General features: G+C 45.6%; 1 protein-coding gene and 1 pseudogene across 11 annotated transcripts in view, besides 2 other annotated features; one reads left to right on the plus strand and one right to left on the minus strand.

Annotated features, from left to right (window-relative positions):
* The window catches only part of NCF2 (neutrophil cytosolic factor 2), a 46288-nt gene that overhangs the window by 24091 nt on the left and 8979 nt on the right, over nucleotides 1-13218 (minus strand). For 6 of the 11 annotated variants that reach the window (NM_001190789.2, NM_001190794.2, XM_005245207.2 and 3 more), the window contains exons 1-2: nucleotides 10504-10807; nucleotides 7243-7325 (exon numbers count right to left, since the gene is read on the minus strand). In NM_001190789.2, coding sequence (NP_001177718.1) covers nucleotides 7243-7325; nucleotides 10504-10677 — 257 coding nt within the window. In that variant the 5' untranslated portion in view covers nucleotides 10678-10807. Of the gene's footprint in view, nucleotides 1-7242; nucleotides 7326-10503; nucleotides 10808-10869; nucleotides 10941-10970; nucleotides 11263-12801; nucleotides 12915-13218 lie in introns of those variants that run through there. The other 5 variants (NM_001410895.1, NM_001127651.3, XM_047421222.1 and 2 more) reach the window with 4 other exon arrangements.
* Nucleotides 7956-8672, plus strand: C18orf32P1 (C18orf32 pseudogene 1; annotated as a pseudogene).
* Nucleotides 10827-11086: an enhancer, noted in NCBI's record as "active region_2216". NCBI's record gives its function as "activates an Ori minimal core promoter by ATAC-STARR-seq in GM12878 lymphoblastoid cells {active_cell/tissue: GM12878}" and the evidence as "EXISTENCE:reporter gene assay evidence [ECO:0000049][PMID:35858748]".
* Nucleotides 11197-11536: an enhancer, noted in NCBI's record as "active region_2217". NCBI's record gives its function as "activates an Ori minimal core promoter by ATAC-STARR-seq in GM12878 lymphoblastoid cells {active_cell/tissue: GM12878}" and the evidence as "EXISTENCE:reporter gene assay evidence [ECO:0000049][PMID:35858748]".

Here is a 13218-nt window from a genome sequence, read left to right on the forward strand (position 1 = left end):
GGCATGAACCCAGGAGGCAGAGCTTGCAGTGAGCAGAGATCACACCACTGCACTCCAGCCTGGGTGACAGAGTGAGACTCTGTCTCAAAAAAAAAAAAAAAAAAAAAAAAAAGAGAATAATAACAGCATATACCTCACAGGTTCATTGTGAGAACTAAAGGAGATGAAGCATTTGGGTACTTCAGACAGTGCCTGGCACACACCATAATTTTTTTACTATTGTTTTTGTTGTTTTATTTTCTTTAGCTCTAACACTCTACCAATTAATCCATACATCAGCCACTTATTACGTGTTTACTTAAAGCTCCGTGCCATATAAGCTATTATCAGGATATTTTAAAAATACATGGCATAGAAGCTGGAACTCTGATCTCATGGAAGTTTAGAGCTGAGCACAAGGGCTGGTTGGCCAAGAGAGTCATAAGGAACGGGTGCCAGTGTGGCTGGGGGAGAAGCCATCACCATTAGGGTTGAGGTAAGTCACACATGGTAGCAGTGGCTATGCGGGAAATAAAAGAAGAGAGCTTGGGTTTGAAATAGGAGGATGGCTTTCTCTAGTATCCCTGTTAATAAAGATGGTTGTAAAACCTACTAAATGCATGCAGGCCATTCTTTAAGTAGCAATGGGGCCTTTCATGTCTTTTCCACGCATCTTTCTGGGTTCCTGGAAAGAGGAAGAAGGTACCCAGAAGTACGCCAGAAATCAGGTTCCGCTTTCTAAGCCAGAAGGTGGGGTAACTAGCTTCAATTCACTGAGCCTCTTCCATCGCGAAGAGGACAGGCAGAAGCAGAGGTTTCCTGTTTCCTGGCAGCTGCAATTTCCACTGTGTTCTATTGCCTGTTTGGGAGCTCGCTGAAGGTCTCAGAGGGCACACACTTTAACTGCCGTCAGCATCAACCTACCAACGTGCCTTCCTCCCTGCTGAGTTGGCTAAGCAGATGGATTTCAGCTGGGAAGTGACACCACCTGGGTCTATCTGGCATTGCATGAGCCCAGCAAAATCCTCCTAATAATTCCCTAGCCCATCAAGATGTCTACAGAGGCCCGGTGCAGTGGCTCGTGCCGGTAATCCCAGCATTTTGGGAGGCCAAGGCAGGCGGATCACTTGAGGTCAGGGGTTCGAGACCAGCCTGGCCAACATGGTGAAACCCCGTCTCTACTAAAAATATTTAAAAATTAGCCGGGCGTGGTGGTGCGTGCCTATAGTTCCAGCTACTCAGGAGGGTGAGGCAGGAGAATCACTTGAACCCAGGAGGTGGAGGTTGAAATGAGCCAAAACCATGCCACTGCACTCCAGCCTGGTTGACAGAGCGAGACTCCAACTCAAAAAAAAAAAAAAGGTGTCTACAGATTTGGGCCTGGTAGGAGAGAGAGAGAAAGAACTGACAAATTATTCAGAGGGTTTGCTTTGTTTTAAAGACAGGGTGGACCCGCCTAGGCAATATGGAGAAACCCCACCTCTACTAAAAGTACAAAAAATTAGCCAGGCATAGTGGTACGTGCCTGTAGTCCCAGCTACCCGGGAAGCTGAGGTTGGAGAATCACCTGAGCCCAGGAAGTCAAGACTGCAGTGAGACATGATTGCACCACTCCACTCCAGCCTGGACGACAGAATGAAATCCTGACTCAAAAAAAAAAAAAAAAGAAAGAAAGAAAGAAAGAAAAGAAAGTCCAACAACCAAAAAAACAGGGTGGGGCCAGGGGCTGAGGTTTGAGCCTGCAGTTCCAGCTACTCCGCCAGAGGCTGGGGCAGGAGGATCACTTGAGCCCAGGAGTTTGAGGCCAGCCTGGACAATATAGTGAGACCCCTTCTCTAAAAAAAAAAAGATTACTTATTTTATTTATTAATTTTGTTATAGAGACGGGGGTCTCACTATGTTGCTCAGGCTGGTCTCGAACTCCTGGGTTCAAGCAATCCTCCCACCTCAGCCTCCCAAAGTACAAAGACTGCAACTGTGAGCCACTGCACAGGGCCTAATTAATTAATTTTTAAAACGGGGAAGGGGCATCCTTGCTAAGTGTTTTTTTTTTTTGAGACAGAGTCTCGCTCTGTTGCCCTGGCTGGAGTGCAGTGGCGCGATCTCGGCTCACTGGAAGCTCCGCCTCCCGGTTCACGCCATTCTCCTGCCTCAGCCTCCCGAGTAGCTGGGACTACAGGCGTCCGCCACCGCGCCCGGCTAATTTTTTGTGTTTTTAGTAGAGCCAGGGTTTCACCGTGTTAGCCAGGATGGTCTCGATCTCCTTACCTCGTGATCCGCCCGCCTCGGCCTCCCAAAGTGCTGGGATTACAGGCGTGAGCCACCTCGCCTCGCCAACTAAGTGTCGTTTTTAAACATGTCTCTGAAAGCACCGGCCTGCTTCCCAGCCCCCTCGTTCCCTGCTGCAGGCCTCTTTTCGGCCTCTCCACTTGTTTACCCAGAGCTGCAGCCCTGAAGGGGGTTCCGCTTTGACACACAGCTCTTTTCCCATTACACAGGTTCGCAATAATCTCAGTATGAGAATCCCAAAATAGCATTCAGCGCTGTGTGCCAGTGGGCCGTGCTGCGGCAGCCCCCGCCTCCCTCTAGCCCTTCTTCAGCGGTTCTCTTCGTGGCCATTTGGAAGCATCCCCCAGGAGGCAGCCAAGGTGCTGGCAGCTTCCTGCAGGGCTCTGCTGGGCTGGGCATGGGTGCTTTCTTCACACCCACACTTCAGTGACACCCCTTGGGGCGCCTTGGCTGCACTGGACCCAAAGCCCCTCCCCTCCCAGGCAGGGGATCCACCAGCTGAAGCAGCAACCTTGCCATAGCTTTTCACAAGCTCCAGGCTTGAGAGAGTTTATAATCCCCATTTCTGTAATACTCCTGGGAGGTTTCTTAGTAACCTGCTTGTTCCCATGCTGCCAGTGCCCCATGCGTCCAGAGTCCACAGCTCATACACCTGCACCCAGGACAATGGAATCTCAGCAAGCTGAAAGAAGTCAAAACTTCAGGCATCTTTGGGATGCTGCAGTGGCTGCTGTGACAGAGGTTTGGGCCCACTCCCTTTCCTGTTTCCAAGTCAGCAGGAAGAAGGCTTTGCTATGGAGCCTCTTTAAGCCAGCTCCATGGAATGGGTCTCACCCTTATTGTCATGCCCTAAGATTCATAAGGCACAGGATCTGAAAGACAGCTTCGAGCCCCTGTGCCTTTCAGATGACAACGCTGGGGCTAGAGAGGCGAGACAGCTTGGCTGTTATCCCTGAGACTCTGCTTGCCTTTTCAGAAATGTGCTCTAACTTTGTTCTGTTGGAACTTTATAATGACGGAAGAGCAACACAAAAACATACGAAAGTGGGGAAAATAGAGGGAAATAGAGGGGGAAAAACCTCCATCCATAACATTATCAGCCTTAAACAATTCCCTTTTGTAATCTGAGGGAATTCCTTTTTTTTTTATTCAGACAGAATCTTGCTCTGTTGCCCAGGTTGGAGTGCAGTGGTGTTATCTCGGTTCACTGCAACATCTGCCTCCCAGGTCCAAGCTATTCTCCTGCCTCAGCGTCCCAAGTAGCTGGGATTACAGGCACCCACCACCATGTGCTGCTAATTTTTTGTATTTTTAGTAGAGACAAGGTTTCGCCATGTTGGCCAGGCTGGTTTCAAACTCTTGACCTCAGGTGATCCGCCTACCTTGGCCTCCTAAAGTGCTGGGATTACAGGTGTGAGCCACTGTGCCCAGCCAATCTGAGGGAATTTCTGTCCCACACATTAAGAAGTAATTTCTCTAGCCCCCATCCCGCTTACTTAAAACTACCTCTTACAGCAGTTACCCACTTCTGCCTTGCATTACAGTTACTGGTGTTCTTGACTTGTTTCCCCTTTTTAATTTATAAGTTCCTTGAAACGGAGACTATATTTTGCTCACTTTTATTTAATCCAACACTCATTTATTGAGTAACTACTATGCTAGATACTGAAATACAAGCATGAGTAAGTAAAGATTTCTTACGAAATTCGTAGAGTAGTGGAGAAGACAAATATATACAGGAAGCAAATATCTGTCACGGGCCAGACATATTACAAAAGGAGGCTCAAAAGAGGGAGCAGACGCTGCCTTAGTGGTTGGGCATGGCTGGGGCAAAGGCACGGAGGATGCATGAGTGGGTGGCAGCAGCTGGACCACATAGGAACAGGCAAGGGAATTTGGCCTTTATCTTGCAGTCATGGAAGCCACTGGAAGTTCTCACAGAGATTGCTTTTTTTAAATTTTTTTTTATTTTACAAGATCACTCTGGAATATGAATGGAGGGGACAAGAGCAGTGGCTGGAAAATCAGTTTGGAAGTGACTGCAGTAGTCCTGGTGAAAAATGAGGGTCTCAACCAAGGCAGTGCTAGTGGGGATGGAGAGAAATAGGTGGATTTAAGAAATATTTAAGAGGTCAACCTGATGAGGTTTAGGGAAAGAGACATTCCCTGGATGGATCTCAGGTACAGATTCTGTGAGAAATGGAGGCCAGCCATATGGGAGAGGGTGGCCTTGCCCAGGAATGGATCCTCAAGGTTCACATACGGACTTCATATCTATAGCCCCTGAATTGTACATAAACGAATGTGTGTGCTTGAAAGTGTATTTCTGGAAACACATTTTGCCATTTAACAACCACTGCTGCAGTTGTAAAAGGGAAAAGGGTCAAGAACAGAACTTCAAAGGGAATACCAACACCTAGGGAATTGCGCAAGAGGGCCTGCTTGAGGTTGAGATTAGTGCCTCATTTGTATAATTTCCTCATTGTTGAATTACAGATAAAACTCGGTAGATTTTTCTCTCAGGTGTAACTATTAATATTACCAATCACAGATTAATTGAATCCTGGGTCTTACTTTTAGAAGTTTCCAAGATCTTTCTAATCACTCAAAACCGTGGCCTTCCAGATCCTGGGACTCACGGGCATTTTTTGGAGGAAATTCTTTCTGGGAGCCTTCACTCTTTTGCCAGTTGTATCTCTTCTTTATAGACTATTAGAGGTCACTAAGGAATGACCTTAGAGTTTGCGTTTTGAGATTTAAGATCGGCTGAAGGATTTGTTGTTAGGCCTCCCTGCATATTCTATAGTCTGGAGACGGGGTAAGGGGGAGTGAGAAAGAGAAGGATGTTAAGAGCGGGGACAGGCAGTTAGAGGCAAGACGTCGGTCAAGATAAACACCTGCTGTACCAAAATATCTCATGTGTCCCATAAATATATACACCTACTGCATACCCACAAACATTAAAATAAAAAATTAAAATTAAAAAAAGAATTTATAAAGTCACAATAAATATGTCACACTAAATATGGGGGGAAGAGAGAGCTAAATGCCTGGATATCTTCTCCCAATCCCAGGCTCTCTTTCTCCCCAGATTGCCATTGTGTCTGTGGTTTTTCTTTTAGAAAAGACTTCACTTCTACTTTCACTTCTTCAGGTAACTAACTGCATCTACATCTTTAAGGTCCTTTGAGCATCTTGTGGTTGCCCTTAGCAACAGCTGCATACATGGGTTTTACAGGCTCTGTTTCTGACCAAACCATAGGATCAAAGCCTTTCAGGGTGGCACAGGATCAGAGCCCAGCCCTCTCTCTGATGTCTGGACATTGTCTACAACCTCCCTGCTGCTCCATCCACGCCCGGCCTCACCCTCACCCCACCCACACCATGCACAGATCATTTTCACTGTCAGAAAGTTCTTTATTAGGCTGGGCTCAGTGACTCATGCCTGTAATCCCAGTACTTTGGGAGGCCGAGGCGGGTGGATCACAAGGTCAGGAGTTCGAGACCAGCGTGGCCAACATGGTGAAACCCTGTCTCTACTGAAAAATACACAAATTAGCTGGACGTAGTGGCGGGCACCTGTAATCCCAGCTACTTGGGAGGCTGAGGCAAGAGAATTGTTTGAACGTGGAAGGCAGAGGTTGCAGTGAGCCGAGATCGCGCCACTGCACTCCAGCCTGGGTGACAGGGCGAAACTCCGTCTCAAAAAAAAAAAAAATTCTTCATTAGCCTGAGCCAAATTCCTCTTCCCTAGAACTGATGCACACTGGTGGAACAGTTTCTACAAAGGGTCAGTTTCCCATGCCCCAAAACATTTGAAATTATCACTTAGAATTTTTTTCCTTTGTTATTTGTTATGAGGTATTTGTGCAGGATGAGAGGGAGGAGGAATTGAGATTAACTTTCATTTTGAATTTATTAATCTTTGTACTAATTATTCCATGTTGACTATAAACAAACCTAAAAATGCAGACAGGGTGATAGAAGAAAATGGATTTTCCTATAATCCCACCATCCAGAGAGAATTATTGATAACATTTTGATCTATGGCCTTCCAGACTTTATTCTGTGATACAGAAATGGGACTATGCTATATGAACTGTTTTGAAATCTGTTTTTAAATTTAACATCTGGCTGGGCGTGGTGGCACATGCCTGTAATCCCAGCACTTTGGGGGGCTGAGGTGGGCAGATCACCTGAGGTCGGGAGTTCAAGACCAGCCTGACCAACATGGAGAAACCCCATCTCTACTAAAAATACAAAATTAGCTGGGTGTGGTGGCGCATGCCTGTAGTCCCAGCTACTCGGGAGGGTAAGCCAGGAGAATCGCTTGAGCCTGGGAGGCGGAGGCTGCGGTGAGCTGAGATCGAGCCCTTGCACTCCAGCCTGGGCAACAAGAGTGAAACTCTGTCTCGGAAAAAGAAAAAAAATTAACATCTACTGCAAACTTTTTCTGTATAAGTGCATACGCTACTTACTTATCTGTAGTAATTTATTCTTATACATATAATGTTAATTTGTATTATCATTTTTGCAGCTGAAGTATATTTCCTCAAATGGATTAAACCAGGTTTTGGAAATGCATTTTGCTGGGATGAAGCCAGGTTTTGATGCAGTTTCATGATCATCCCCATTCTGTGACAGCTCAGTACCTCATAGGAGACCTACATGGGTGACCCCATCAGGGACACTGGTGGGGTGTCACACCAGCTGAGTATCAGGCCCATGGTGGTTACCTAGGCTCATTGTGCCTATGACACAGCTGATTTATAATCTGGTGGCAGACCTGCCTTGCCTCCCCAGTGAGAGCTTCTGCCTCACCTGCTGATTTATTGCATAACTGTCCCCAGAAGGGCCAGTCACATTTCCCAACAGAGGTTGGGAAGGTACTGCTCAAACACCAAGCCCGCAACACTGAGACCCCTTGGGTTTCTCTCTGAAATCCTCCAGTTGGTGCAACATTGAACCACTTACTTCTCTGTCTGGTAGTAGAGCATCCCTCGTTGGAAGTAAGCCACTGCCAAGTGCTTGTCTCGGTTAATGCTTCTGGTAAAGGCCTGAGGAGAGAAGGGTCCAGACATGGCCATGATGCAAGGCAGTGAGGAGGTGTGAGATGAGCCACGGCTCACAGAGCCCTAGCTCCCTGTGGTGCCCAGCTCTGCTGTCTGCCCTCGTCGGCACCTCGAGGCCCACCCTGTGCTCTCACGGTGCACCCCACTTCGCTCTCACATTTAGAAGCTGAAGTCTGGGACAATGGTGTGCATTCCTTGTATTGTCATTCCAGTTCTGCTGTGGATCTACAAAACATTCCTGGAGCCATACATATACCATCTGATTTCTGCTTTTGTTAGTCATATATGGCCTAGAAAAGCTACACAAGAATCCAATAATTCCCAGGTGCGGTTGCTCACACCTGTAATCCCAGCACTTTGGGAGGCCAAGGCAGGTGGATCACTTGAGCCCAGGAGTTCAAGACCAACCTGGGCAAAATAGTGAGACTCCATCTCTACGAAAAATTTAAAAATTAGTCAGATGTGGTGGCACATGCCTGTGGTCCCAGCTACTTGGGGGACTGAGGTAGGTCAATCGCTCAAGCCCAGGAGGTGGAGACTGCCGTGAGCTGTGACGGCACCACTGCACTCCAGCCTGGGCAACAAAGTAAGGCACCCTGTCTCAAAAAAAAAAAAAAAAAAAAAAAAAAAAAATCCAATGATACAAATAAAGACAAAGTGGACTATAAGGGTGCAGACACTAATGGATTATCACCAACAGAAATCTTAGAAGAAAAGAAACACTAAAGCATTTTCCCAAAGGAGCTCATCATTTTAAAAATGGACTTGACAATATGAAGCGCCTTCTTTGTAACTGTCTCTGACCTTCTCTGAGACTAGAATTCAGAATAGATAATTTAGACATTTACCTGATACTAATAAAAAATACATATCTATATTTAAAATATAGTTAGTTATATTTAATGACCTCATTCCCAAGTTCCTTTTTCATTAGTGTAGCTTTCATTTCTATTATCGCTGTTTTAATAATATGATTTAATATGATTAGATAGAAGCTTTGAGCCAGTAGACACTATGTTACTAAATCAGTACTTTAAAATCTTTGGTCTTCTGTCTTTCATTCATATGAATTTAACTGCTGTTTGCTCTAATTTCTTTGAGTTCTCCTAGTTTGAGTAGAGTACAATTTTACTGTGAAACAATGCAGCGAGACTGTGCTATGAAGTGAAGGTAGAGTTTTTGGAGGTGATAATGATGTCAAACTTAAAGATACAATTCCTATCCAACACAACAGAGCACCTTGTCCAGGAGAGTAGTAATTACTATTTATTGCTCTGTGGAAGATAAAAAAGATAGGGAAATAGGAGAAGCTTCTTTGAAAAATGAAACATCATTAGACGGGCTTGGTGGTGCATGCCTGTAATCCCAGCTACTTGGGAGGCTGAGGCAGGAGAATCACTTGAACCCAGGAGGCAGAGGTTGCAGTGAGCCGAGATTGCACCACTGCACTCCAGCCTGGGTGACAGAGTGAGACTCCATCTCAAAAAAAAAAAAAAAGAAAGAAAAAATGATATCTAATGTAATAATGAAATTTTAACCCTTGTTGCATTTCTTGTATTCCTATGAATGTATTGAACATTCAGTTTAAATAAATAATAAAATTTATTGCAAATGAAAATAATTAAAATATTATATAAATTGTTATATTTGTTTACTATACAAACTTATACATGAATAGTATACAATTAAAATGATAATGAATAAGAATGCATATAAATGCTAGTAGGAAGGGCTCAAGCAGGAAAACAAAGAAAGGCAGAAGGAATGAGAAGGCTAGAAGCAGAGGAATGCCAGGAGAAACAGAGACATGTGGGCCTGAAGGCCTGGGAGCTGAGAAGTGAGTGGTGGCCCACACAACCTTGCCAAGGATCCCATATCCAGGCCAAGGCAGGAGGCTACAGTCCCTGCTGGCATAGCTGTGCCCAGACTAGCTGCCAATCTCTTCTCCTGGACAATGTGCACTTTGTGTCCATCAGCCCTCAGAATGTGTGGTGCTGTTCACTCAGCCCCTCAGCAGGCCCCTGAGAGGAGGTGGGGCCATGTCCTTCCTCCAGCCAGAGGTGGGGGGTCCTGCCATGCTCTGCCTTAGAGCCTGAGATTGACTTGTCAAGCTATGTGAGAACATTTCAGTCACTTCTCTGTCTTCCTGTCAGGAGGGTGTGGCTGAGGCTTGTTTACCTACTGTTGGAGTGTGGAAGGGACTGATTCTTTAAGGGACCTGGGGAGTCAACCACTGCCACACCTTGCAAAGACTGGCAGTAATCGGTAAAAATAATAACTAACTCTTATACAGTGGTGTGAAGTTCCACGAGACATTAATAGTTTGGCATCTCACTTAATTTTCATGATATTTAGAAACTCAGGAAGCTGAAAGCCAGATGTCTACATAGGCTACATAGCTTGCTTAAGACTAAAAGTCCAGAGAGAGACAGAGGCTAGGATTCGATCCTAGATCTTCTCCTTCCAAACTCCATACCCTTTCCACCTTACCACAACCAATCAAAAAAATAATTATCGAGAATGCTTAACTCCATACTATGGTATTTGAGTGAGAAAACATAACGAAAAAGATGCGAGACATCCCACACCATGCCCCCAGCAGACATCACTAGTCAATCACAGTACAATTTCCTCTTGCCAGCCTCAGCATCTTTAAAAGAGTCTCCTTTATAATTGATCAGAATTGTCACTTGGGATAAAAGCTATTTTTTGTAAGTGCCTCCCTTAAATCTCTTGAGCAGGCAAAGTCGACACACATGAAAGTCTTGGAAAGCCAAAAGAGGTGCCTTAGAATCAATAATCAGGTGTAAAGCGCTGGGATAGATAGAGATTCTGTGCCCAGAAGGAGTTCTGTGTAGAAGAAAGTACGACTAGGACAGCCTTCACAAAGGTGTTAAAGACACTTGTAGAATGATTTTAATTTAGAAGATGGAGAAAGAGGCAACCCTGGCTGCCCCTCACCTGCTCTCCACCTGGAGAGCTTTTAAAACTGGCTGCCTGGGGCCCCTCCCAGACCAGTTAAATCAGGCTGTCTAGGGGTGGAGCTTGGGCAACTTTTGTTCTTTTCAATCTCCCCAGAGGTTAGGTTTCCGAAATGCAATGGGGTTGAGAATCATAATAACAAATGCACAGAGGAGGCCCGGAAAGAGGCACCTCCACTCACCTTCTCTGCTTCAGTCATGTTCTTCAGGATAGTGTACATGCAGCCAATGTTGAAGCAAATCCGGGAGTGGGGGTCCTGGACGGCACTGAAGGCATCCAGGGCTCCCTTCCAGTCCTTCTTGTCCGCTGCCAGCACCCCTTCATTCCAGAGGCTGATGGCCTCCACCAGGGACATGATTAGGTAGAAACTAGGAGGCCAAGAGAGCTGCCAGGAGACAGAGAGAAGACAGGTTGGAGCGTCTCCCCTAGCAGGGCTGCCTTAGTGGCCCCCAAGGTGTTCACTTTCTGGGCCAGATGAGTAGAATGGGGCCCAGCCTCCCTTAAGATAACTTCTCAGTGTTGCAAATGCATCAGGAAATGTCCCCACCTTTTGGCAACTGACTCATAACCCTACCATGAGAGAGAAAAGGAAAGAAGCAGAGAGAGAGAGGGCGAGTAGGGGTGGAGTGTGGAGGAGAGAGGAAGTACATCAGCTGCTGCCTGAAGGATCAGTTCCCCAAAATGCTTCTGCTCTGTCACCCAGCTCCTCTTCTCTCTCCCACCCCTGTTCTGTGGCAGCTTCTGGCCAAAGTTCTGCTTCTAGAGCCAGGGTAACCTTGGCAGGTAGAGGCACCTCCCTGGTGATAATGACAGGAGGCAGCCAAATGCCTAGGCAGATAGGGGCAGGTCCCTGGTGAAACCCCACCTTCAAGCCAAAAACAGCCTGAAGGCTGAAAGACTAGGCTACTGGTCCCAAATGAAACCCGTGACCTAGAGTGAGAACTTCTGTTCCTGTTTGTCTGCTCTTTCCCAATTAATTATTTCTGACTAATGCCTTTTAACCAATTGAATGTTGCCTTTTCCAGTACTACCTATGTCCTGCCCCTCCCCTATTCTGAGCCCATAAAAGCCCCAGACTCACCCGCACTGGGGGGACTTTCCTGCCTTTGGGTAGGGGAACCACCCCTGCATCCCCTCTCCACTGAAAGCTGTTTTCATCACTCAATAAAACTCCCCACCCAGGCCGAGTGGGCAGGCCATCTCCTGCAGCAGGTAGTGTGGCCCACTGAGGCCTGGGCAGGGTGTCACCAGCCAGAGGTTCCTGGCTTACAAAGTGATGGAGAAAAAATCCTGTGTCACTGGGCCTTGATTTCCACACCCTTGTTAAATGGGAGTGTCAGATGAGAGGATAATTCTTTCCAGTCTTGAATGAATTCCTTGCTCACTTTTTTGTAATCCCATAGGCTGTATTAATATGTTAGTGTTTATCTTGAGCTGAAATTATCATTAACAAATTTTTGAGACAGGATAATCTTTGGAGATCCATCTGATCTGGGCCTGAAATAACTTTTTTTTTTTTTTTTTTGAGACGGAGTTTCACTCTTGTTGCCCAGGCTGGAATGCAGTGACACGATCTCAGCTCATTGCAACCTCTGCCTCCTGGGTTCAAGCAATTCTCCTGCCTCAGCCTCCTGAGTAGCTGGGATTACAGAAGCCTGCCACCACGCCCTGCTAATTTTTGTATTTTTAGTAGAGATGGGGTTTCACCATGTTGGCCAGGCTGATGGTCTCGAACTCCTGACCTCAGGTGATTCGGCCTCCTCGGCCTCCCCTCAAAGTGCTGGGATTACAGGAGTGAGCCACCGTGCCCAGCCGAAATAACTTTTATGAACATTCATGAAGTTCAGAGGGGACCAATTTCCTGCAAATGTCAAAATTGGGAGCCACATGACAGTGAATTATGACTTCTCCCATCTTCCAGTGAAAAATTGAAGAGATGAAAGTCCTGCACTGATGACTAATGGATTTACTAGTCTCTGAAAAAACAGATTTAAGAGTTCTTTCCTTGCTTTTCCAGAAAAGTAAAAATCAGTAAAACCTCCCAGAGGAATAACTGGGGGTAAAGGGTATAGCCAATTTGGCTTGCTAAAATCCAGGCTTCTTTTTAGGTAAAATGCATGTTTATGGGGGTCAAATACTTAGATGCAAACTCTTGTTTTGTAGCAACTGAAAGAATTCACTCATTATCACCAAGCTTCCCCTAAAAGCCTGAAAATAAAACTTAAAAATGTATACTCCACAGTGCTTGTAGGATTGAAGGTGTGAGAATTAAGAAGACATGTGTGTCTTTGTCCAGATTGTTTTCCTGTGTTTACAAGGCCTTCCCAGCTCTCTTCTTTGCCTGGCAAACTCCTACTCATCTTTCAAAGCCCAGTTTAAATGTCACCAACTGTGCTAAATCTAGCCCTGAACTCTGGGTAGTAGGAGAATTTTCCTCTCCTTTGTACCACCTTTACCCAAAAACTTGCATCATACTTACTGCAATTTATCTCTTTATCTGCTCAATTCATGGGCTCCTTGGAAGTTGGGACCATGCCTTTTCATTCTAGGATCTCTAGCACAGATACTCAATACATGATGAAGGGATACATTCTAAAAGAAATTAGAAATCATTGGTAAATGACCTGCAGGTAGCAGTGATGGCAGAAAGAGGTATTGCTATTCCATCTAGTGAATAAATAATCAGGACTTGAATAGCACATTAATTATTCCTGAGAAAACCAAATGGATTTGTAGCTAAATTAGACTTCATTTTTAAAAAATGTTTTTGCCCTCCTATTATCCCACCCTGACACTCAGAACTCTCCTTAATCTGACTGCCAAGACTTTTCTAGCCTTATCCCCAGAACTTTCCTTCACAATCCCATACAAACTCTGCTGCTTACTCTTCTCCCGC

Source organism: Homo sapiens, chromosome 1, assembly GCF_000001405.40.
Source record: "Homo sapiens chromosome 1, GRCh38.p14 Primary Assembly".
Taxonomy (NCBI): Eukaryota; Metazoa; Chordata; class Mammalia; order Primates; family Hominidae; genus Homo; species Homo sapiens.